Consider the following 22,960-nt stretch of genomic DNA (forward strand, 5'->3'; position numbering starts at 1 on the left):
AAGGCGAACAGGTGAATAATGGCTGAATTCAGGAAGGGACAGTTTCTGTTCATGCTCATTTAACATTTAAGGGGAGTTTATTTTTATTTTTCATTTATTTTTTGAGACAGGGTAAAAAAAGACTAATTTGAACTCATAGAGCTCTCCTATCAGCCATACTAGATGGCTTTTTTTTTTTTTTTTTTGAGACAGAGTCTTGCTCTTGTTGCCCAGGCTGGAGTGCAATGAAGCGATCCGGGCTCACTGCAACCTCCCAGGTTCAAGCGATTCTCCTGCCTCAGCCTCCTAAGTAGCTGGGATTACAGGCGCCCACCACCACGCCAAGGTAATTTTTGTATTTTTAGTACAGATGGGGTTTCACCATGTTGGCCAGGCTGGTCTCGAACCCCTGACCTCAGGTGATCCGCCTGCCTTGGCCTCCCAAAGTGCTAGGATTACAGGTGTGAGCCACCGTGCATGGCTAGATTGCTTTTTATCTGTAGGTGGTTGGAGGAGTACTTTGCTATCCTGTAAGAAAGTGAAGAATATGTAGTATTGCTTCATTCCCTCCAGCAGCTCCCAGAGACATCTCCCCACCCTCCTTCTTGTAAAATTTTGTCCTCAGACTGAAGGGAATTACCAGGGCTATTAAAAAGGGCCAGTTAACACTGGACAGAAGCATATAGCTGCCACATAAGGAATTTTTTAAATCATTTCTAAGTAATGTCCCCTTCCTCATGAGAACTGCAAACTCTTAAAGGTAGGATGGCCAACCCTCACACTTCCTAAACCCTTTTGATTCCCTGATTCCATCTCCCACCTTTGATGCCTCAGTATATAACTGATGGATCAAAGAGACAGATGCCATTCTCATCTCACAGGGGTGCACCCTTCTACTCTTTGGGCTGTGACATGGATGAAAGAGGAGATACTCCCATCTCAGGGGAGAGCAATTTAGAGGTGGCAATGCAGTGCTGCTCTATTCCTTGTATCTGTAAGAAATAAAGGACTGTGTTGGAGACTGGGTCAGGCAAGCTCCTGTAGGATCGTCGTTAGGGATACAGCTACTTGGACCCAAGAGATTTCCAGGGCAACGTGCTTTGTCATTCTCACCCACTACTTTTTTCTATTTAAGGGGGGAGTTTGAAAAGGGGGTGCAGGATGGTTCTGACTCTGCAGGTTCTTTAATGGCCCTGCTCTGACAGGCTGCAGAACAACAGGGCTTGCTTTGAGATGCTCTAAAGGAAAAGCTCCATCTTGCAGGCAAGATGACTTCTGCTCTTCGTCTTTTTTCAGCCACATAGGACAGGGACTGCTGAGCATGTTTGGATAATACAGCATCTTGGCACTGCGAGTTCAGTTGCTGTAGCTTTCATTGTAATAAAAATCTGCTTCTGTCCCTGACAGGTAAAACCCAATCCTCCAGCTTTAGGATTAAAGAAAGGCAGCCAGGCACGGTGGCTCACGCCTGTAATCACAGCACTTTGGAAGGCCGAGGCGGGTGGATCACAAGGTCAGGAGTTCGAGACCAGCCTGGCCAACATGGTGAAACCCCATGTCAACTAAAAATACAAAAATTAGCTGGGCACGATGGGGCACAGCTACTCAGGAGGCTGAGGCAGGAGAACTGCTTGAACTCGGGAGGTGGAGGTTGCAGTGAGCCGAGATATCGCGCCACTGCACTCCAGCCTGGGCAACAGGGCGAGACTCCATCTCAAAAAAAAAAAAAAAAGAAAGGCCCAAGTTCTCCATCCCTAAAGGGTTTTCAGAAGACGAGCTGGGCTGGGAGTGGTGGCTCATGCCTGTAATCCCAGCACTTTAGGAGGCCAAGGCGGGAGATCACTTGAGCCCAGGAGTTCAAGACCAGCCTGGGCAACATGGTAAAACCCTGTCTCTGCCAAAAATAGCAAAAAAAAAAAAAAAAAAGATTAGCCAGGCATGCTAGATCGCGCCTGTAATCCCAGCTACTCGGGAGACTGAGGCACAAGAATCGCTTGAACACGGGAGGCGGCTGCAGTCAGCTGAGATCTGCCACTGCACTCCAGCCTGGGTGACAGAGCAAGACCCTATCTCAAAACTCAACTACAAGGGCCCTAAATGAGTACACAGTACCACAGAATTAATAGTCTGGAAGGAAACCTAGAGGTCACCTACTAAGTCCAAGTCTCTTATTTTACTGATCTGGACACAGATCCAGAGTTGAGAAGTGATATGCTCGATGAACCACAGTGGCAGAACCGGGAGAGCCCAAAGCCATGGTCCCATTAGAGATCTAGCCATCTATCAGAACCGTGTACAGGGAAGAGGATGAGACAGAGGGAATGGTGTTAAAATAGTGTGCGTATGCTAGAGAAAGCCATCCCAACCCACGACAAACACCTCCAACAGCTGTAGGGCTATACCTACCCAGGGCCTCCAACCCTTTACCCATACCAGGGCGGCAACAGAGAAACAGTGACTGATGTCCAGTGACAGATTTTTTTTTTTATATTTAAAAACAAAACCAACCTCCCCCCAAATAACCCCCAAACAAACAAAAAAACAGATTAAATAAAATTTACAGTGAATATACCCAGCAAACATCTGTATGTGCAATTAAATACTGTGTCTGTTACTGCGGCACGAACCTCAAACAAACAATATACAAGTGTTCTGGGGGGGCCAGGGGAATCCCAAGTTTTAACTCTGTGGGGTCTAGGAAGACAAGATGGGGAAGTGAGAGAATGGGGCAATCAATTTTGTTTATCTTAATTCTGTCCATATAAATATATTCATAAAGACCAAAAAAGGAAAGGAAGCTTGGGATGTTAAGGTAATAGGAGGACAGTGTGGGACTTTCCCAATTCTACCTGACCAAAAAATGAGAAATTAATTTTATGATAGGAGAAGAGATTTAAAAAAATGATAGAAGAGGATGGAAGCCAGGCACAGTGGCTCACGCCTGTAATCCCAGCACTCTGGAAGGCCAAGGCAGGTGGATCACCTGAGGTCAGGAGTTTGAGGCCAGCCTGGCCAACATGGTGAAACTCCGTCTCTACTAAAAATACAAAAATTAGCCGGGCATGGTGGCGCGTGTCTGTAGTGCCAGCTACTTGGGAGGCTGAGGCAGGAGAATCACCTGAACCCAGGAGCTGGAGGTTGCAGTTAGCCAAGATCGTGCTACTGCACTCCAGCTGGGGTGACAAGAGCGAAACTCCGTCTCAAAAAAAAAAAAAAAAAAAAAAAGAAGAGGATGGGAAGAAGAGTGATGCAAGGGGGGTCAACCAGGGAAAAAGAGAGGACCCATGGCAGGGGAGCAAGAAGGAGTCCAATGCCAGTGTAGGTATCTGTGTTTCCATCTTCATCACTGTCTTAGGTTCCAGTTTAACATCAGTTTCCTTACTTCCTGCCTCTGTCCATGGTCTGTCAGGATCCTTCAACCCCCTCCACCCTGCCCTTGCTCCTTCTGTGACAGTCCCTTTCCCCTCCTCCATTTATTGGGAGCTGGCTCGCTCCAGGATCCTCAGGTCATAGTTCTTTTTGGCCATTCGAAGTTTGAAGCGACTCACGGAGTTGTTGAGACGAAGGGAGGCATTTTGGGCAGCCAGGGGGCTGGGGAACACAGCCACAATGGTGTACAAGGCAGCGAGGTCCGAGTGGCGGCCATTCTCAGCAGTCCCACTGTTGTCCCCCCCACCCCCTCCAGGCAGCCCCTGAGCATCCTTGAGCCACTGGATCTTGGCGCCAGACATGGCGAGCTGCGTGAAGAGTTTGTCCGCCTCAGTACGGGTGATGCCCTCAGGGAGATCTGTCACCTCCAGCACCCGCCCCAGGACTGGAAGGGGAGGAGAGAGGACATGGTTGTGAGAGGAATAGGACAGGAAGGACTTGACAGCAGCCCAGCAGAGAAGTGTCCAGCTGACTAAGTCTGTATACAATGTCTTCAAAAGCCTGGCCTTTCTCTCTTAGCCCTTTCTTCCCCTCCCCACCATCCCAGCTCTGATCAGGGCAACTAGGAGAAAAACAAATGAACCTTTCTATTCTCCTAGCCCAGAGATACAGGAAAGAAGGGACAGGGAATCAGAATCCTGGGTTTCTGAGCTAAGAACCTATACCTCAGTTCTCTCACAAGGTGCTACTGCTATGAAGAAAATGTGGCTTTTGCTAATGTTCTTTAACAATAATGTATCAATCTGAAATATGTTCCATAGTTCCCTTCCCACTCAGAGGCTGGCTCAAATAGATTCTTCCTTCTTATCATCTCAGGAAGTCAAGTTTCCCTTCCTTTCCTTGTTTAGGAAATTGCTCCAAATCCCAAGACAGATCTTGTTCACCTAGTGGGAGGCTTGTAGGACGAGAGTTTCTCCCCCATATTCTCTACCAATCTTCTCCTAAACTGGGTCTAGGACTACCAAAGGTAGATGTCGTAGATTAGGGACAGGACACTAATTAGAAAACTCTTTGTTAATAAGAGGCAACTCCCATAATTGTGTTATTCCCACTTTTTACCATGATCTTCCTCAGAATCTGAGATGGCTTGGTAGGGAGGACTGAGATACTTCACTTCTCCAGTTTCTGCTTGCTTTTGAGCACAAAGGGTCCCACTTCCACTCCCCATCCTAAGCTGGCTTTTCCCACCCATGCTGGACTGGTAATTAAGCGCTGGAAGGGTGGGCACCTTCTCTTGGGGATTCAGCATCCCGTGACTCACCAACATCTGCTGTCCCCAGGTCAGTGGAGGCAGATTTGAGTGCTTGTCTCTTGCCCCGGTTTCCATGCTTCAGTCCACTCTGTCCCTTCAACATTTGAAAGACGACTCTCATCCCATGTAAACAACATTGACTGCCTTGCATCAGAATGTCTGCCTGAGAGATTGTGGAGTAGCACCAACCCAGAGGACCCCACCCCACTAGGCAGTCAGGTTGGCCATGGAGCAGCGACTGAGAAACAAAGAGCCCCTCCCTCTTGGCATGGGGGTCGGGTGGGAGACATGAGTATAGGAGGTAGGGCAAGGCTCCTGCTTTGTTCATTCTGTGTTATTTCCCTTGTATACCCAGCTGGTTGAAGCTCAGACACAGGCACCCAAATAAGAAGAGGGGTCTGATGGCCCTACAGTTGCTGGTGGACACCCTTACCTGGTGCACCGTGTAAGTTGACTGGCCATGGAGCAAGGGAGGGCAGATGGACAGATTGTACTGTAATGGCTGGCCCAAAAGGGAGTAGCGCCCATCACCTAGGGAGTAAGAGCAATTGGTTTTCTGGGAGCTTAAGCTTCATAGTATGACTTTTATAAGACTTCAAGGGGCTTTGGAGACAGCAACAATGCATACTATTCCTAATTTTCTATGATGGAAATGCCCATGCGACTGGTATAAGAGTTGTTTCTCTTCCTAAATCCTTTGGCTCTCAACTGTGTCTCACAGATAAATGGGACTACTAGGTCCCATCATCCTTGAAGAAAGGCTCTATCCACTGTAGACAACAGTCCTATGAAAATGACCAGGGAAGAAACTTACAGACCCTTATGAATGTCTTTTATCTCTCTTTTTTTTTTTTTTTGAGACAGAGTTTCACTCGCCACCCAGGCTGGAGTGCAATGGCATGATCTCGGCTCACTGCAACCTCTGCCTCCTGGGAAGCGATTCTCCTGCTTCAGCCTCCCGAGTAGCTGGGATTACAAGCATGTGCCACCACGCCTGGCTAATTTTTTTTTGTATTTTTAGTAGAGATGGGGTTTCACCACGTTGGCCAGGCAGTCTTGAACTCCTGACCTCAGGTGATCCGCCTGCCCCGGGCTCCCAAAGTGCTGGGATTACAAGCGTTAGCCACTGCGCCCGGCTGTCTTTTATCTCTTATATAGATTCTCCCAACCCCTAAACCCAGGGTTCAAGTTTCTGACTCATGTGAGAGGCAGTATAAGCACAGTAGACAAGAGCATAGTCGTGGAGCCAGACTGCCTGGGTTAAAATAGTGGCTCTGTTACTGGAAATATGATCTAACGTTGGGTATTTTTTTCCCTCATTAATGTTGCTGGAAAGGTTAAACAAATATAAGACATGTAAAGCATTTATAGCAATGCCTGGTACATATTAAGTACCATTAAGTGTTACCTATTATTGATAAATATTACATTTCAGAGCACTTTAAAGTTTTTAAACTACATTCTCATTTTTATACTGCTTGTGACAGCTAAGGCAGAAAGCAGATAAAATTCCCATCTTATGTGTGATTAACCCCATTTTACAGACTAGGAAGTGAGGTCTACTTCTGAGTTTAAGTAACTTGTTGAACATCACAAAGCTAGTTAGTGGTGAGACTGGAACTTCTGAAACCAAATCTAGTGGTTCCTTTTCTAAGACCATACCGTTTCTTACAAAATCCCACATTCCCAGCCCTCAGACTTGGTACTGATATTAGGTTAAACTCTTTGGTCATTAGAAAGTTCAGTGAACTTATTTTCTCCAGCTCTTTTTACCTACTTGGTTGTAAGTACTAAGTATGTAAAGAAGGCTAAAGAAAGTTAAGCATGGACAGCACTAGAGAGGGGCAAGTGTCCAAGGCCTATACAGGGATGTTAAAGGAAGAGTTAACTCCCAGAATTGGATCATCTACACTGGTCCTCTGCCTGTTGTTACTCTTTCAATCTCTGCAATTGGGAATGGGATGTGAAAGGTGAATTCCATAGCAGCCAGCACTAATCTAACCCCCTACCCTGTGCTGGACCCCCAGGCCGGGGGAACTGTGTGAGGACAGGCAGGGGACTGAGTCCTGTGCAGACACTGCTGAGGCTGGTGACAGGAGAGGGTGCTGGAGACTGGGTAGGAGATGTGACAGGGCTGCTGCTCATTTGTGTGTTGGCCTGTGGAAAAGAGGAGCACACGTCACATAAACATCAAACATTACCCTCTGGATATTCCTATGGCTTGGCTTAAAATTCACCTCTCTCAGGAAATAAGTTTCTCTTGCTGAACTCTGCCAAAGTCAGACTCTTCCTTCAAACTGCAACCTCAGTCCTTAATTCATTTATGCTATTTTATTTATTTATTTATTTATTTATTTATTTATTTATTTATTTATTTTGAGATGGAGTCTTGCTCTATCACCCAGACAGGCTGGAGTGCAGTGGTGCAATCTTGGCTCACTGCAACCTACACCTCCTGGGTTCAAGCAATTCTCCTGCCTCAGCCTTCTGAGTAGCTGGGATTACAGGTGCCCACCATCACGCCTGGCTAATTTTTTTATTTTCAGTAGAGACGGGGTATCACCACGTTGGTCTCAAACTCCTGACCTCAAGTGATCCTCCCGCCTTGTCCTCCCAAAGTGCTGGGATTACCGGTGTGCGCCACCATGCCTGGCCCATTTATGTTATTTTAATATCCATTTCTGGCATATTGATTTAAGTATTCTCTGAGCATTTTCAAGTGTGTATCCCACCTGCCACCTTATATATTAGGTTCCTTAAAAGAGGATGCTGTCTACTTCCTGTGTTTCTCCCCAGAAAGTACCCAGGAAAAGACATGTAAAAGAGGCTGCTCAGTCAATAGCAAACATTGCGCCCCGGGAAGAATACGGTCATCTCCTTGCCAAGACAAGGCTGAGTGCTGCACTCACCTGGGGGCTGCTGTCAGGACTGTACAGGTCTCCAGGCTTCTGCCCCCGCTGGTCCATGCTGTAGTATTTACAATGACTCCACTGGACCATGGATGGGTTCTGAGGGGGCTGGGGTCCATTAGGGACATTCAGCTGCATGACCACTACACCTGGTCCAGAAGGTGACACTCCTGAAGGGCAGGAAGAAAGCAGTTGGTTACAAATTCCAACTGTATTTTTGCCTTCCAACTAGCCCTGAGTGGGAAAGCAGCAAATAAATCCACCCATTGCCTCAGGGTCACTCAAGCTACGTCTTGCCAGGAACCTGAGATGGCTGCTGATGTGGCTTCTGACTCCATCTTCTCAAACCAGTAGAAGTTTGAGTGGAAGGGATATGAGCCCCAGATGCCAGTGCTCCCCTGGCCTTCACCTGGTGAGGGGTACTTTGGTATGCTTGGCAGAAAACTACTCCATTCTGTCAACGCTGGCTATAACCAAATGCCCAGGTCAGATTGCTCAAATGTCTAGGCATGGTACGGGTCCAGGTCTGGGCCACAGGCCAGGGCTGCAGACACGTGCAGGCTTTTCTGGTAATGGCTATAGATAAGGCAGTGACCTCTGGTTGTTCTGGAGAAGATAAATCCACATAGTTTCACTATGCCAGACCCAGAAAGTACATCTTGGCCAAGAATGGGGTAAGCTGGGAAGCATTTTAAGCATTTAAGCATGGAGATGTATGTCATATTCAGGAACTGACAAATGATTCAAGGTGCTAAGACACAGGGGCCATATAGGGGAAGCAGTAGGAGATGAGACACGTTTATTTAACAAACTCTTATTGAACATTTGCTATGTGCTAGTTCCTATGTTGGGCACTGAGTGTACAAAAAACAAGGCTGTCCCTGCCCTGATAGAATGGACAGTCTATTAAAGAGTCAGACATTAAACAAATAGTTGGTGTCAGAGTTTGAAGCATATTCTGGTAAGATGTTTGGACTTTATCCTGTAGGTGTTGGGAGACCTATGCTTTGGAGAGCTAACTCAAACGGCCAAATGTAGGATAGCTAGGGAGAGAGACCAGCAGCAAGAAAGACCAGTCAGGAAGCTACTGAAGGTCGGGCACAGTGGCTCATGGCTGTAATCCCGGCACTTTGGGAAGCCGAGGCAGGTGGACTGATTGAGCCCAGGAGTTCAAGAGTAGCCTGGGAAACATGGTGAAACCCCATCTCTACAGAAAATACAAAAATGAGCTGGGCATGGTGGCAAGCACCTGTAGTCTCAGCAGCTCAGGAGGCTGAGGTGAGAGGATCACTTGAGCCTGGGAGGTCGAGGCTGCAGTGAGCCGTGATTATGCCATTGCACTCCAGACTGGGTGACAGAATGAGACCCTGCCTCAAAAAAAAAAAAAAAAAAAAAAGCCTGCTGAAACAGAATGAAGAGATTTGAAATTAGGGCAATGCCAGCAGGAATGGAGTGAAAGTCAGACCCTCTGAAGGTTACACTGACAGGTTCAGGTGACTGACTGAATGCGACTTTGAGGTTTTGGCACTGGCAACCATGGATAGACTCATCCTCCCACAGGGTGGGAGAAGGGAAAGCCTTAATAAGGAGGAACATTAAGACCTAAATCTTCATGGTGAAAAGCAAGGTAAAGAGTCAGGGTCAAGCAGTTTGATGGACAGTCCCTGCTGGGAGGGATGGGCTGGAGCTCTGCTTCCCCGCAAGGGATTGTCTAGAGTGAGGGTTTATTCCTGACCTCCCAGGCTATATTCCTGTTGAGGCTGAGTTCACACGTGGGTGGTGGTGGAGAAATGGGAAATTTGGGGTTACTAGCTTGAAAACCTGCTGCAATGCTGCTGTTTTCATGGCTCGATGCTCCAGGGCTGCCACTGCTGCTGTCATCAAATTGCTTCCTATGACGGGAAATGTTGCAGCCTCTGCCCTGGGCACCAGTCATGCTGGGAAGTGAGCGTGATTGTTTTTCTCAGGTAGTATCAGTCAAAAGAAAGGAAAAGAAATGGTGGGAGGTCTAAGAGAAGCTCAGGAGACAGCATCTGTCATATCATATTCCCCAGACCATTTGTACCCCTGACCCTCTAGGGTTCATCCAGTCAGAGAGCACAAATACTCAGTGCAACAGGCTCAGATATCCCCATCTCCTGCCAAGGTGGACAGAGTATTCATGGGCATAGGTTGTAGTAGGGCCATAGGAAAACTGCACAGTTGTGGAGTGTCATGCATTTAACAACTCTCCCCTTACTGTAGTTTTGCTGGGTATTTTATTTCCCCATCCTAAGAATCGCTCACCTGCTTCAACATCCTCTACCAACAAAATTGCAATTGACCTTATTCAAATACCTCATTGCTACTTGAGAGTCTAATGTAAAAATAATTAAATCTATTGTTTTTCTAGAAGGTATTCAAATACCTCATTGCTACCTGAGGGTCCAATGTAAGAATAATTAAATCTATTGTTTTTCTAGAAAGCAGCTCATAATCTGAGCCTAATGCCCTGGGCCAGGAAAGGTGGAGAAGGGGGTGAGTGTGTAGAAATAAGCATAAGCAAGGCAGTGGAAGCTCTAATACCAGCAGGTAGTCATAAGGAGCTATTAGGGAGGTCACAGGGAGAGGGAAAGAAAACAAAGTCCTCATATTATTATCTCTGCTCCCAACAAAAACAAAGCCAGGGTTTTTAGTTGCAGCCTCTGTCCTGAGCTCCTCCCCACACTGAGTCCTCCCCTGCTGGCCTGAAGCATTGTTCCTTCACTTAGCTGAGAACACAGAGCACTACTCCACTGATGAGCTGATTTTTATGCTTCTCTTCCTCGAGCCCAAAGCAGGTGGCATCTGTTAGCAGCTGAACTGTCACTACTTCTTAATAGACGTGGCAAAAAAAAAAAAAAAAAAAAACCCTCTGCCCAGTGACAGCACTTCCATATAATCAGGTTGGGGGAAGGAGCATGGGTTGGCAGCCAGTGGGAAGTGGGAGGGGGGGTTGAATAAGGAAATCAATTTCAGCTTGAAAGCTCTGAAAGGAGAGGGGACGTGTGAATGGCTTTTTAAGTGGCATCATTAAACCTGGGCAGAAAGGTCGATTGGGCACAGCAAACCGCATAAATACAAACAGATGACATTTATGTCTGGCAGAATTGTTTTTCATTTTTGTTTTTTTGTTTTTTTAAATCACTGAGGTAGAAGACTGATAGGCTTCTTACCACCAGAAATCACATCTATGGAAAGGAATTGTTTGGAGAAATAAAATCCACAGGCATCTTTCCCAAATTAAAAGATAGAATCCAATAATATCTTGGTATTTTTCCTTTTTTTGGTGGGGGAGTAGGATATCTTCACTAAATGGAAGACGAAAGAGCAGTCTCAGCTTTGGAAACCCCTCAGCTAAACAATGAGCCAGTAAATATGTGAGAGGCTATTTCTGTATGCATTTCACTCTGTCCATGCTGCTGTGTCACTGTGAGTTGGGAGTCTCTGTATAGGTATCACTGCCATTTCATGTCTGTGTGCATCTTCCCCAGACAAGCACCCCTGTAGAAACCTCAAGGGACCTGCAACCATCATTTTAATGGGAGAAGTCTTTCCTGGGGTTAGAGTTATGTCTCATACTATAGTGAAGGAATTAAAGTTCAGGCCTGGGGGTAAACAGGGCAACTACAAAAATGTATTAATAAACCAGAACAGTTGTTCCAGGAACAGCTAATCCTAATCCCTGCCTTTATTTTTGGAAAAGTGACCATGTTGCTACATGAGAGAAGGGCAGGCAACTGTCCTCTGAAGGTGACAGAGGGGCCCTTGTGGGTTATGCCTGCTGTCTATCTTTTCAGTATAGGGTAAACGAGGCACAAGAAGCACTTGTTTCCCTTTTTCCACCTCCTCTTAGATTTCCACAAACAGGGATTAAAGACCTATAAGATCGATATGGTGAATACAGTATTTTACATGATATGGGTAGAACACAAGATACCACTATCTAGGAAAAGTACAAGGGGTCAGTCAGAAGCCTAGGATCAACCAGGGTAACTAAGAACAAAGGAGATAAAACTGAGAAAATTCCAAAGAAGCAAGGAAAACAGACGATAAAGAGGGATTCTCCATTTCTTTTGACGTGGGAAGCCTACATTAATTATCTCTTTCTTCTAACCCTGGTCCAGATTTCTAGTGTTGCCAACTTCCAGAACTGTTGTTTTAGTTTACTTAAATTAACCTAGTATGACAGAGTAGGTAATGAAAAATTCTTTTCACTTGATTTGTTTATGGTTCAAAGATCTTGCATTTGAAGATGAATAGATGTAACCACAGTGACCCAATAGATATAAGGACATGCCACAAAGGATACACACAAAAATGCACATACAAGTATACCTACATGTACATGCAGGAGAAAAAATGCCCCGCAGTACCCAGCACCACCATAGGCTACAGTGCTTCTTGGAGCTGGTTTCTGCAATATCTATACCCCACTGGAAATTTTAAGGCCAAGTGCCCCTGGCAGACACTAGGAGAAACAGCCAGAGAGACCAATAACATAATAAAAGTTAAGGACTTTTGAATTAAAAACCTCAGCCTGTATGAAGGCGGAAGTCATTGCTCCTTTTTTTTTGTTTTGAGACAGTCTCGCTATGTTGCCCAGGCTGGAGTGCAGTGGCGCAATCTCGGCTCACTGCAACCTCTGCCTCCTGGGTTCAAGCAATTCTCATGCCTCAGCCTTCCAAGTAGCTGGGATTACAGATGTGCACCCCCATGCCCAGCTAATTTTTGTATTTTTAGTAGAGATGGGGTTTTGCCATGTTGGCCAGGCTGGCTGGTCTCGAACTCCTGGCCTCAAGTGATCCACCCTCCTTGGCCTTCCAAAGTGATGGGATTACAGGCATGAGACACCATGCCTGGCCTGGAAGTCATTGCTCCTTAAAGGTAAGAACTGATCATGTCTAATGAGTAAGATTAATTCTGGAATCTACTCCACAGCATCCAACATAGTGACGTACAAAAAATCTTCAAGTGAAAATATTCCATTTCTAAATAGGGAAAATTGACAAAATATCTCCCTCTCACCAGAAGAGGGCACTCTGACATTCCCACGATAGAGTGGAAAGGAGATGGTTGGAGGCTAAATTAAGACTTCCTGCCGAGGTGGGCAGATCATGAGGTCAGGAGATCAGGCCCATCCTGGCCAACATGGTGAACGCCGTCTCTACTAAAAATTTAAAAATTAGCCAGCTGTGGCGGCATGTGCCTGTAATCCCAGCTACTTGGGAGGCTGAGGCAGGAGAATTGCTTGAACCTGGGAGGCAGAGGCTGCAGTGAGCCGAGATCACGCCACTGCACTCCAGCCTGGGCGACAGAGAGAGACTCTGTCTCAAAAAAAAAAAAAAAGACTTCCTTCCCAGCTGGGCTGGGAAGCTGGCTCAACACCTGTAATCCTAGCACTTTGGGAGGCCGAGGCGGGCGGATCACCTGAGGTCAGGAGTTCAAGAACAGCCTGGCCAACATGATGAAACCCTGCCTCTACTAAAAAAAAAAAAAAAAAAAAATACAAAAATTAGCCAGGCATGGTGGCAGGCGCCTGTAGTCCCAGCTACTCAGGAGGCTGAGGGAGGAGAACTGCTTGAACCTGGGAGGTGGAGGTTGCAGTGAGCCGAGATTGCACCACTGCACTCCATCCTGGGTGACAGAGCAAGACTCTGTCTCAAAAAAAAGAAAAGAAAAGAAAAGAAAAAACAAAAGACTTCCTTCCAGATTTTTTTTTTTTTTTTTTGAGACAGGGTCTTGCTCTCCATGATGACAGGGTGACATCACCATGATGCAGTGGCACCATCATAGATCACTGCAGCCTCAAACACCTGGGCTCAAGTGATCCTCCTGCCTCAGCCTCTCAAGTAGCTGGGACGAACTAAAAGCACATGCCACCATGCCCAACTAATTTTTAAATTTTTTGTAGAGATAGGGTCTTGCTTTGTTGCCCATGCTTGTCTCGAACTCCTGGCTTCAAGAAATTCTCCTGCCTTGGCCTCCCAAAGTGCTGGGATTACAGGTGTGTACCACTGCACACAGTCCCCTAAAGTTTCTTTAACTGCAGTGTATTGCTATTTGAGGGTAGGGTGAAAGGGATACAAACAAGGGCAGCTGTACTTGCGTGTTAGGGGAATTCTTGGCAAAGGCAGTGAAAGGCTGCATGGCATAAACTTATTAACTTGGAATGGCTGGCCTCTCCAAAGAGGGCCCTTAGCTGTGTAACATGATGTCCATTTATTTTCCACTGGAGAGAAAGAAATTGAGTAAAAAAAAGTGTTGAAAATGTGTTGAAGACTCAGTATGGGATGCGGAAAGTCAAAAGACCCAAATTCAAGTTAGAGGATTGTGACTTTAGGCAAGTCATTTAATTTCTTTGAGTTTTAAATTTCCTCCTCACAAAGTTATGGTGAGAATTAAAATGTTACAATGTATGTGAGCACACAACAAAAGCTGCTAAACAAATCTAAGCTCTAAGTTAAAAAGCGTTTTATCAACTTCCCTCACCCTCCCAAGAGAAAAGAAATGCTGTCTATATGAAGGATAAGTACAGAAGACACAGGTCTTCTGTGTCTTCATTTCATGACCCAAAGGCATGTGAGTATAGTGCTAGATTCAGAAAACAAAAAAAAGAAAAAAAGAAAAGAAAAGAAAAGAAAAAGAAAAAAGAAAAACAAAGAAAACTAAGAATGCAGAGACATAGCTTTTCAGGGCTGAGGCAACCAATGTCATTTCTTTTTTTTTCCCCCTAGAGACAGGGTCCCACTCCCTATCTGGGTCCATCCAGGCTGGAGTGCAATGGCACGATGCCAGCTCCTTACAGCCTCAGCCTCCCAGGCTCAAGCGATTGTTCCCCTCAGACTCCTGAGCAGCTGTTACTACTGGGTGCGTCACCACTCTTGGCTTGTTTTTTTTTTTTTTTGAGATGGAGTCTCGCTTTGTCGCCCAGGCTGGAGTGCAGTGGCGCGATCTCGGCTCACTGCAAGCTCCGTCTCCCGGGTTCAAGCATTTCTTGTGCCTCAGCCTCCCAAGTAGCTGGGATTACAGATGCACGCCACCATGCCCAGCTAATTTTTGTATTTTTAATAGAAGTGGGGTTTCACCATGTTTGCCAGGCTGGTCTTGAACTCCTGACCTCAGGTGATCTGCCCGTCTTGGCCTCCCAAAGTGTTGGGATTACAGGCGTGAGCCTCCGCACCTGGCCATAATTTTTCTTTTTTTTTTTTTTTTTGAGACGGAGTCTTGCTCTGTTGCCCAGGCTGGAGTGCAGTGGCATGAGCTGCAACCTCTGCCTCCCAGGTTCAAGTGATTCTCGTGCCTCAGCCTCCTAAGTAGCCGGATGACAAGTGTGCACCACCATGCCTGGCTAATTTTTGTATTTTTAGTAGAGATGGGGTTTTACCATGTTGGCCAGGCTGGTCTCAAACTCCTGGGCTCAAGCGATCCACCCGCCTTGGCCTCCCAAAGTGCTGGGATTACAGGCATGAGCCACCATGCCTGGCCTTTTAAAAAAGTTTTTTTAGTAGAGTCAAAGTCTTGCTATGTTGCCCAGGCTGGTCTCAAACTCCTCAGCTCAAGTGATCCTCCTGCCTTGGCCTCCCAAAGTGTTGGGATTACAGGTGTGAGCCAGTGTGCCTGGCCCCAGTGTCATCTTGAGAGGTCAGCTTCAGTACCCTTGGAAAACACCAGCTAAGACTGTTTTTTCTTTGTGATGGAGTCACAGTGGGGACAGACCCAATACCTGAACTCTTTTTGCCCTTCCCAGCTCTAGAGCACAGGCCCTTCAGCAATGTTTGCTCTTGTCAGTGCCCAAGACCCACAGTTCCTTATCCTCTTACCTGAGTACTGCTGTGGCATCTGTGGTGGACTGCAGGGAGAGGGAGACTGAGGCATCTGGTACTGCTCAGAGCCAGGGGGTTGCAGAAACCCTACAGAAGGGCTGGGAAGACAGAGAAGAGAGGAGTGGTGAAGCAGTAGAGGGATGAACACAGCTCCTGGCAAACAGCTGCTGCTTCCTGGTCCTCCCCTATGGGAAGGAGAGGCAACTTCAAGCCATTCCCAGACCAATTTGCCATGCAATTTCTAAAATCACTCATCAGTTCAAAGTTAATTATATGTATTTGTACTTGATCATCTTTCAATTAGGAAGCTGCTAATCAGTGCTACAGATGGAATGTTAGTGACACATGCTCTTCCCAACACTGGAAACACCAGACACACATACATGCACATATGCACACACACAGATTCCAAGAAACACAACAGAAACACAGACAAAGAGAGTGTCACAGACACAGACACAGAGTGCTAGAAAGAGATGGGTAAAAAAAAAAAACACAAAAACTAAGGATTGCTAATTATTTTTGGCCTAAAAAAAAAGTCAGTTGGGTGCAGTGGCTTACGCCTGTAATCCCAGCACTTTGGGAGGCCAAGGCAGGTGGATCATGAGGTCAGGAGTTCGAGACCAACCTGGCCAACATGGCGAAACCCCGTCTCTACTAAAAATACAAAAATTAGCTGGGCATGGTGGCGCACACCTGTAGTCCCAGCTACTCAGGAGGCTGAGACAGGAGAATTGCTTGAACCCAGGAGGTAGAGGTTGCAGTGAGCTGAGATTGTCATTGTACTCCAGCCTGGGTAACAAGAGCAAGACTCCATCTCAAAAAGAAAAGAAAAGTCAAAAACAAATATAGTCACATAAAGACAAATAGAAAAAAATAACGCCACAAAACTCAAAACAACCTGGAGACATATATAGAAAAAGACAAAGGTAAATGCACATATACTGGGAGACAGGCATACAGAAACACGTGGAGTTGCCCAGACTCCAGTTCTTGTTCCACCTCTGCCTCTAACTAGCTATGTTAATTTAGGTAAATTTTTTAACAGCCCTAGCTGGAATTTCCTCATTTAAAAATGAGAGAAAAATAAAACAAGGGGAGTGGACTAGATGATTTCTAAGGTGCCTTCTACCACTAAAAATTCTATTCACTATGACCTATATTCAGTTATATATAAATAGATACAGAAATAGACACACCATCAGTTTCATTGATAAACAGAGGTACACGGAAAAATTTACACATCACAGTCCAAAAAAATTTCTTCTCTTAATGATGAGCAGTCTCTATCCTCTAGTTCTGAGTCCCATTCTTTTGAAAAATAAAAATGGAGGAAATCATAAATTATAAGTCTCTGAAGCAGGAATTTTTTTCTGCTGATAACCTCTTAGGCACATGTCAAATCAATAAGTGAAAAGGAGAATGAACTCCCTCATATTCTACCTGCTTTAGGGAACTACTGGGATCTTTACCCCTGCCTTTCTTAGGCCAGTGGAAACAAAACCATGATGCAACTGTTGCTGAAGGTCTATGGGAGATGTCCTGTCCTGGCTCTCTGGGAGTCCTCACCTCGTACCGTTCTGCTGAGCAGGTGGGATCATGCTATAGTACACTGGTACCCCCGCTGCTGGGAGGCCTCCTTGCACAGACTGGCTCACAGGGACCAGCATGGGTTGCTGGAAAGGCGGCTGGACCACATTTTGCGAGTCACTACCCACTGGAACCTGGGTGAGAAAGAGAAGAGAAAGAATCACATTCGCATTCACATTGAGCTCATGCAGAAACAGCCTAGTCATCACGAGATCAGGGCATTACAACTTCCTTCCCTACCTTAGATCCTCCTCCTGTTTTCCCCATCTGCCTAAAGAAAATGTTTCCAGAGCTGTCTCTATTTCTGCCTTCTTCAAATACCACCCTTGGGCATCTGACATAAAGAAAGGAGCCTGATTTCCTTTAGCCACTACTTTCCTGGGCATATACTCATTCCATGGCTGTATAAAGACCAAACAATTTAAAGATTCTTCTAAAACTCCATGGGCTTTCCGTTATAGGAAAAAAACCTAAAAATTCTAGGGGAAAGTAGACACTATTTTAGTATTGGAGTTTTTAGTATGGATGACCCTGGGAGGCTCTCCTTTTCCTCATGCCAAGGACTGGGGTGATCCTTCCCAATGCAGAATGCACCCACTTGGTAAGAAGGCAGTGGAGTGTACTGAACCACCAGGCCTTGCATCTGGCCCCCCATGCTGCTCCTCTGGCTGCTGAGCAGGCCCTGGTTCTGTGGCTGCTGGACCCCAATCATGCCTTGGTAAGCCGCCTGCTGCTGGTTAGGCATCATGGGCTGTAAACCTAGAGATGGGCAAGGCAGAAAATACATTAGTATGAATGTTTAGGAGGTCACACTCTATCTGTAATTTCCTTCTCCATTCTATTTTATCTTTCTTTTTCTGGAGAGCATAGGTCTGTTCTTAGGACCCTAATCATTCCTGCCCCTAGACCCACCTTCATTTTAATGGAGAAGGTACTTCTTTCTTTCCTGGTGTGCCCTTCCCTTATTCACTGCCTTCTTAAACCAGTGGTTTCTCTTACCAGGCTGCTGGGATGGCTGAGGCAGCTGCTGACCACGTTGGGGGCTATAGGCCACCGGGTGAGAGAGAGGTCGATATTGCTGGTTGGAGTTAGGATATTGTCCAGGGGGATAGTAAGAAACCTGGATCTATGGTGAGAGGAGACAGATGTGTGAGAAGTCCCTAAAATTCAGCCGCAACATCAGCATACTACTATAAATGCCTCAAGATTGATGGCCAGAAATATGTAAACGGAGATATTTTGGACCTGCAATTGCAGTAAAACAAGGATTTATGTTATATAGAAAGAAGACTTTCTGGCTAGAACAACTCTCAAGTGCAAGGTAGGGAGAGGTATTCCCTCTGGTCTGTCTAAACTGGAGGAATAAAGAAAGTATAATACTAGACAAACTGAATTAAGTGATTTAAGCTGGGAACTGGAGCTGCTCACCTGTTGAGGGGGCTGCATGTACCCCTGGGGTGGCAGAACTTGCTGAGTAGGTGGTGCATGGCTAGAGGTGGAATAGTTGGAAGTGGGGAGGGGCTGACCCGTGGAAGCCATGATGAAGCTAGTCTGCTGAGGGTGCTGGGAGATAAGTGGGGTCTGGAATAGAGCTGCAGATGGGTCAGCTGCTTCAGTAGAACCTTGGCGACTAAGGCTCATTTGTCCAAAGGGGTTGCTGAGGTCATCTGCCTGTTGAGAGAGTATAAGACACAGGATTGGGGCTGTATCAAACCTCATGTCTTTGGCTTCAACATAGACAGAGAGAAATAGCAATGCTTTTTACAACCTTCTTTAAAACAATGGGGGATAGTCCTACCTCTGTGCTGTGCTATGAATTGAATAGCTGTTGAAGTCCAACTCCAGAGCCAGTCTCTCTATCACATATGAGGTAACAATGGTGACCCTGATTATAATTGTGTGTTTTTTTGTTTTTTTGAGACACAGTCTCATTTTGTTGCCCAGCCTGGAGTGCAGTGGCTCAATCCCAGCTCACTGCAACCTCCGCCTCCCAGGTTTAAGCAATTCTCGTGCCTCAGCCTCCTGAGTAGCTGGGATTACAGGCTCCTGCCACCAAACCCGGCTAATTCTTATTTTGTTTTGTTTTGTTTTGTTTTGTTTTGTTTTGTTTTTTGTTTTTTTTGAGATGGAGTTTTGGTTCTTGTTGCCCAGGCTGTAGTGCAATGGTGCAGTCTCGGCTCACTGCAACCTCTGCCACCCAGGTTCAAGCAATTCTCCTGCCTCAGCCTCCCGAGTAGCTGGGATTACAGGCATGTGCCACCAAGCCCAGCTAATTTTTTTTGTATTTTTAGTAGAGTCGGGGTTTCACCATGTTGGCCAGGCTGGTCTCAAACTCCTGACCTCAGGTGGATCCACCTGCCTCAGCCTCCCAAAGTGTTTGGATTACAGGCGTGAGCCACCGCACCAGCCTTATTCTTGTATTTTTAGTAGAGACGGGATTTCACCATGTTGGCCAGGCTGGTCTTGAACTCCTGAACTCAAGTGATCAGCCCGCCTCAGCCTCCCAAAGTGCTGGGATTACAGGTGTGAGCCACCGCGCCTGGCCTATGATTGTTGTTAGGGTTAGTCCTTGGGAGATGGGAGCTATGACACAATTACTGTATATAGAAAAAACAGGACAAACTAGCGGCTTAACGAAAAAGATTAAAGAGTCTTTCCATTTCCTGTTTTCCTTATGCCCCCAACCATAAAAAGGCCCCTACATTGCCACAAATCCTGTTTTTATAATAAAGGACCCAGATAACACCTTGAGTGGATCATGGGTAGCTAGGTTCATGTGCCTTCACAGCTCTGCCTATGCAGCAGCAAGACTGGGGGCTCCCACTCCTGCTGCTTATCTCCTTACTCCCTCTGGAGGTCATTTCCACCTTTGTTCTCTGACACTAGCCTAGAATTCTCCTGCCCTTCAGAAACTACTTCCAATTCTCACCTCCAAAAGGAGGGCAGAGTGAGTGGCTAAGCTGGAGGATAAGACTGACTGGCCAGGCTGTAATTGCCTTCTCTCTCAGCTCTCTTTCCTAAGCAGCAAGGGTGATGGTGTTCCATCTCTCACTCATATGGTGATAGGTTAGAGTTTGTTAGCTTCCTTTTCCCTTCTGCTCCCTGGACAGTAATACACACACACACACACACACACACGCACACACAACTAGCAGAAACCAAAAGACAATGCTTTTCTGTAGTTTCATTCCATTTTCAAGGATCTGATCTTCAAGTTAGCTGTTTTGCTACTTATTGGGCAGGAATAGATGACAAGTGAACTGGACTGCAGATTATTTTGAACTCGATATTCCAGGACAATCAACATGGAAATAAGAGGTAGGAGGAGGGAGAGGATTCTAGAGAAAAAGTAGATGTTAAGACAGAGCAAAACAATTCAGGGCTCCTACAACTATGATGGAAGTTATCAACTATGAGGCAAATCAGATCTTCAAAGGATTTGTAGAGTACAAACGATTTAAACAGCATGTGCTACGCAATGGATGAGGATTTTTAAAATATAAACTGACATGGTAAAACAGGGGAACAGTTTAAGTTTTTGCCAGTGATACCAGAGAAGTCTGCAACTGCATTTTTTTTTTTTTTTGAGACGGAGTCTTGCTCTGTTGTCCAGGCTGGAGTGCAGTGGTGGTGCGATCTCGGCTCACTGCAACCTCAGCCTCTCAGGTTCAAGCGATTCTCCTGCCTCAGCCTCTCAAGTAGCTAGGACTACAGGTGTGTGCCACCACGCCCGGCCTGTGTTTTTATTTTTAAAGGAAATTATAGAGAACCATTCTGTATAGAAGAAACTAGGTTCCTCAGACATGCCTAGGGAGCAAATTAGATTTAGGATGTACATCGTAGAGATGAGGAGCCTAGGTTATACCAACATCCAATTTCATTCTCTGTCCTGAAACTTGGGGGAACACAGTGTTCCTCTGTCTTACATTTAAGCATCTTTTGATGTGCTGTGATGAGGCCATTAGCATGGAGTATAGTTCAGCCTGTGCTGGTCCCTCAAGAAGAAATAGCTTTCAATATGCCCTCCAAAAGCACAACATGCTTACAAGGCCATCACAGACTGACCCAGACATACCTACAGATACAGGCCACACATGAACAAGACAAAAAGGGGGAATGGAGTTTATACCATGTTGTACTGCTGGGGCGGAGAGACTGGCAGAAGGACTTGGGGACAGGAGCTTGGAGAGAACTGAACAGGCTGCGGAGAGGGCTGCAGAGCCGGGACTGGCTGTGGGCCAGCAGAGAGGCATGTGGAAAAGGGAAGAGAAAAGAGAGGTGGGAAGCGGGGGGTGGGGTGGGGGGGGGGTGCGGGCAGAGATGGGGAGGGAAAGGGAAGGAACAATAAGGTTAATAATCATAGAAGAAATTTCACATGAGTAGCACGACTGCTGAGCAGGTAGGTGACCAAGCCCGGGACAGCTTGAAGATTTAACATCTCTTTGACAAACAGGCAATCTCTCTTATCAGGGGAGACCTGCTGCACTCCCTTCCCCATTAGCCATTCAGAACTCTGCAGCTGTTGTGAGCAATCTGAGGACTCTCAGGGTCAGGGTCTGCTGTCTGATTCCAAATACAGCTTTTCCCAAAGCAGTTTTTCTGAACACACAATTCCTGGGGAGCATGATCATAACCCTCCTTGACTGCCCACTTGAGAAGAGATTCCTGTCTGCACTGCTGCACTGCTTCTGCAGGAAGGGTCATCCAAGGTCTGGCTCAGCTGCTCCTGATTTCACACCACAGCTCTCCTAGAGGAAATACTCATTCACAAGGATCATCTCCCTCCCAAGGGCAGAGAAGGAAAAAACACCCAAGATCATGCCTGCTTCTGGCTACTTCCTTCCACTCCATGATTGCTCCTCCAGGCTGTGACAGCAATATGAAAAATCCACCTCCACCCCCCAAGCAAACAGGAAGGATTTAGGAATAAAATATAAATAGCTTAGCTTTAGTTTTTGTCCCTTCAGTCCCCCTTCACTAGCCTCAAGCAGGAGGATTTGTTTACTAGGAACATAGAGTGTTCTAAATCAACTAGTGGGTAGTTATTATTTTTTCCTTCCCTTCTTCCCCTCCAGGCATTTTGATCACCTCATCAGTTCTCCAGTCATAGTCCCTGGTGGTAGGAGAGATGAGAGAAGGAGAGAGGCAAGGAAGGGGGGAAAATAACATTGGTATATATTATCTTATTACATACATTGTCTCATTACAGCCTCACACAAGAATCCTATAGGGAGATATAACTTGTATTTGCAAATAAAAAAGGCTCAGATAAATTAAATCACTCATCTAGGCTTACACAGTTAATATGGCAGAGCTGAGGTTGAAATCCAGTTCTGCCTGGCATAGGTTCTCTCCACCCCACTCTAGTAGTGGAGAGGAGGTGAAGGAAGAAGTCAAGGAGAATTATCCAAGCACCTGCCACAGGCTCCTCCCTCCACATTTAGAGCATTAAGATGTGTGGGGCCATGGTATCAATATCCTCTCCTGCCACACATCTCCAGAGTTTCTTTCACAGAAGGGACTAACAGTTCAGGAGGCAGAGTACAGGAATTAGAAGACTCTCCAAAGAGGAGAATACTCTGGAGGTCTCAATAATTAGGTAAAATTATTGAGAATCCACTGTGTGACCTGGAAGAGTTGCTGCTGTAGCCTTGAAAATAAACTCTTAGCTCTACTGGCACACCTATTTTCTGTCAGACAATGGCATTCCAAATATAACTGATGGACAAGATGTTCAGTATTAGCTGCTTATACTGGTGGCTTTCATACACATTTTCTATTATCCCAATTCTCTTCATTCTTTTGGAGGAGAGTCTATCTTGGTTCAGGCATATATATTCTGGGGAAAAAAGGACAGTAAAGTGGTTAAAAAAAAATGGCTGCCTGCAGTGGCTCACACCTGTAATCCCAACACTTTGGGAGGCTGAGGTGGGCAGACCACCTGAGTCGAGACCAGC

General features: G+C 46.0%; 1 protein-coding gene across 53 annotated transcripts in view, besides 1 other annotated feature; it reads right to left on the minus strand.

Moving 5' to 3' along the window:
- R3HDM2 (R3H domain containing 2) overlaps positions 2,444–22,960 on the minus strand; it is a 177,378-nt gene continuing 156,861 nt past the window's right edge. For 29 of the 53 annotated variants that reach the window (XM_047428533.1, XM_047428528.1, NM_001351217.2 and 26 more), the window contains 10 exons: positions 18,432–18,674; positions 18,003–18,129; positions 17,602–17,762; positions 16,983–17,137; positions 15,411–15,511; positions 7,570–7,739; positions 6,670–6,817; positions 5,094–5,191; positions 4,670–4,754; positions 2,444–3,793 (listed from right to left, as the gene is read on the minus strand). In XM_047428533.1, the coding sequence (XP_047284489.1) occupies positions 3,453–3,793; positions 4,670–4,754; positions 5,094–5,191; positions 6,670–6,817; positions 7,570–7,739; positions 15,411–15,511; positions 16,983–17,137; positions 17,602–17,762; positions 18,003–18,129; positions 18,432–18,674 (1,629 nt within the window). In that variant the 3' untranslated portion in view covers positions 2,444–3,452. Of the gene's footprint in view, positions 3,794–4,669; positions 4,755–5,093; positions 5,192–6,669; positions 6,818–7,569; positions 7,740–15,410; positions 15,512–16,982; positions 17,138–17,601; positions 17,763–18,002; positions 18,130–18,431; positions 18,675–21,132; positions 21,235–22,960 lie in introns of all 53 variants that reach the window. The other 24 variants (NM_001351213.2, XM_047428517.1, XM_047428519.1 and 21 more) reach the window with 1 other exon arrangement.
- Positions 12,466–12,760: an enhancer, noted in NCBI's record as "tiled region #5413; HepG2 Activating non-DNase unmatched - State 12:CtcfO, and K562 Activating DNase matched - State 12:CtcfO". NCBI's record gives its function as "activates a minimal TATA promoter and a strong SV40 promoter by Sharpr-MPRA in HepG2 and K562 cells {active_cell/tissue: HepG2 | K562}" and the evidence as "EXISTENCE:reporter gene assay evidence [ECO:0000049][PMID:27701403]".

The sequence above is a fragment of the Homo sapiens genome, chromosome 12 (genome assembly GCF_000001405.40).
Source record: "Homo sapiens chromosome 12, GRCh38.p14 Primary Assembly".
Lineage (NCBI taxonomy): Eukaryota > Metazoa > Chordata > Mammalia > Primates > Hominidae > Homo > Homo sapiens.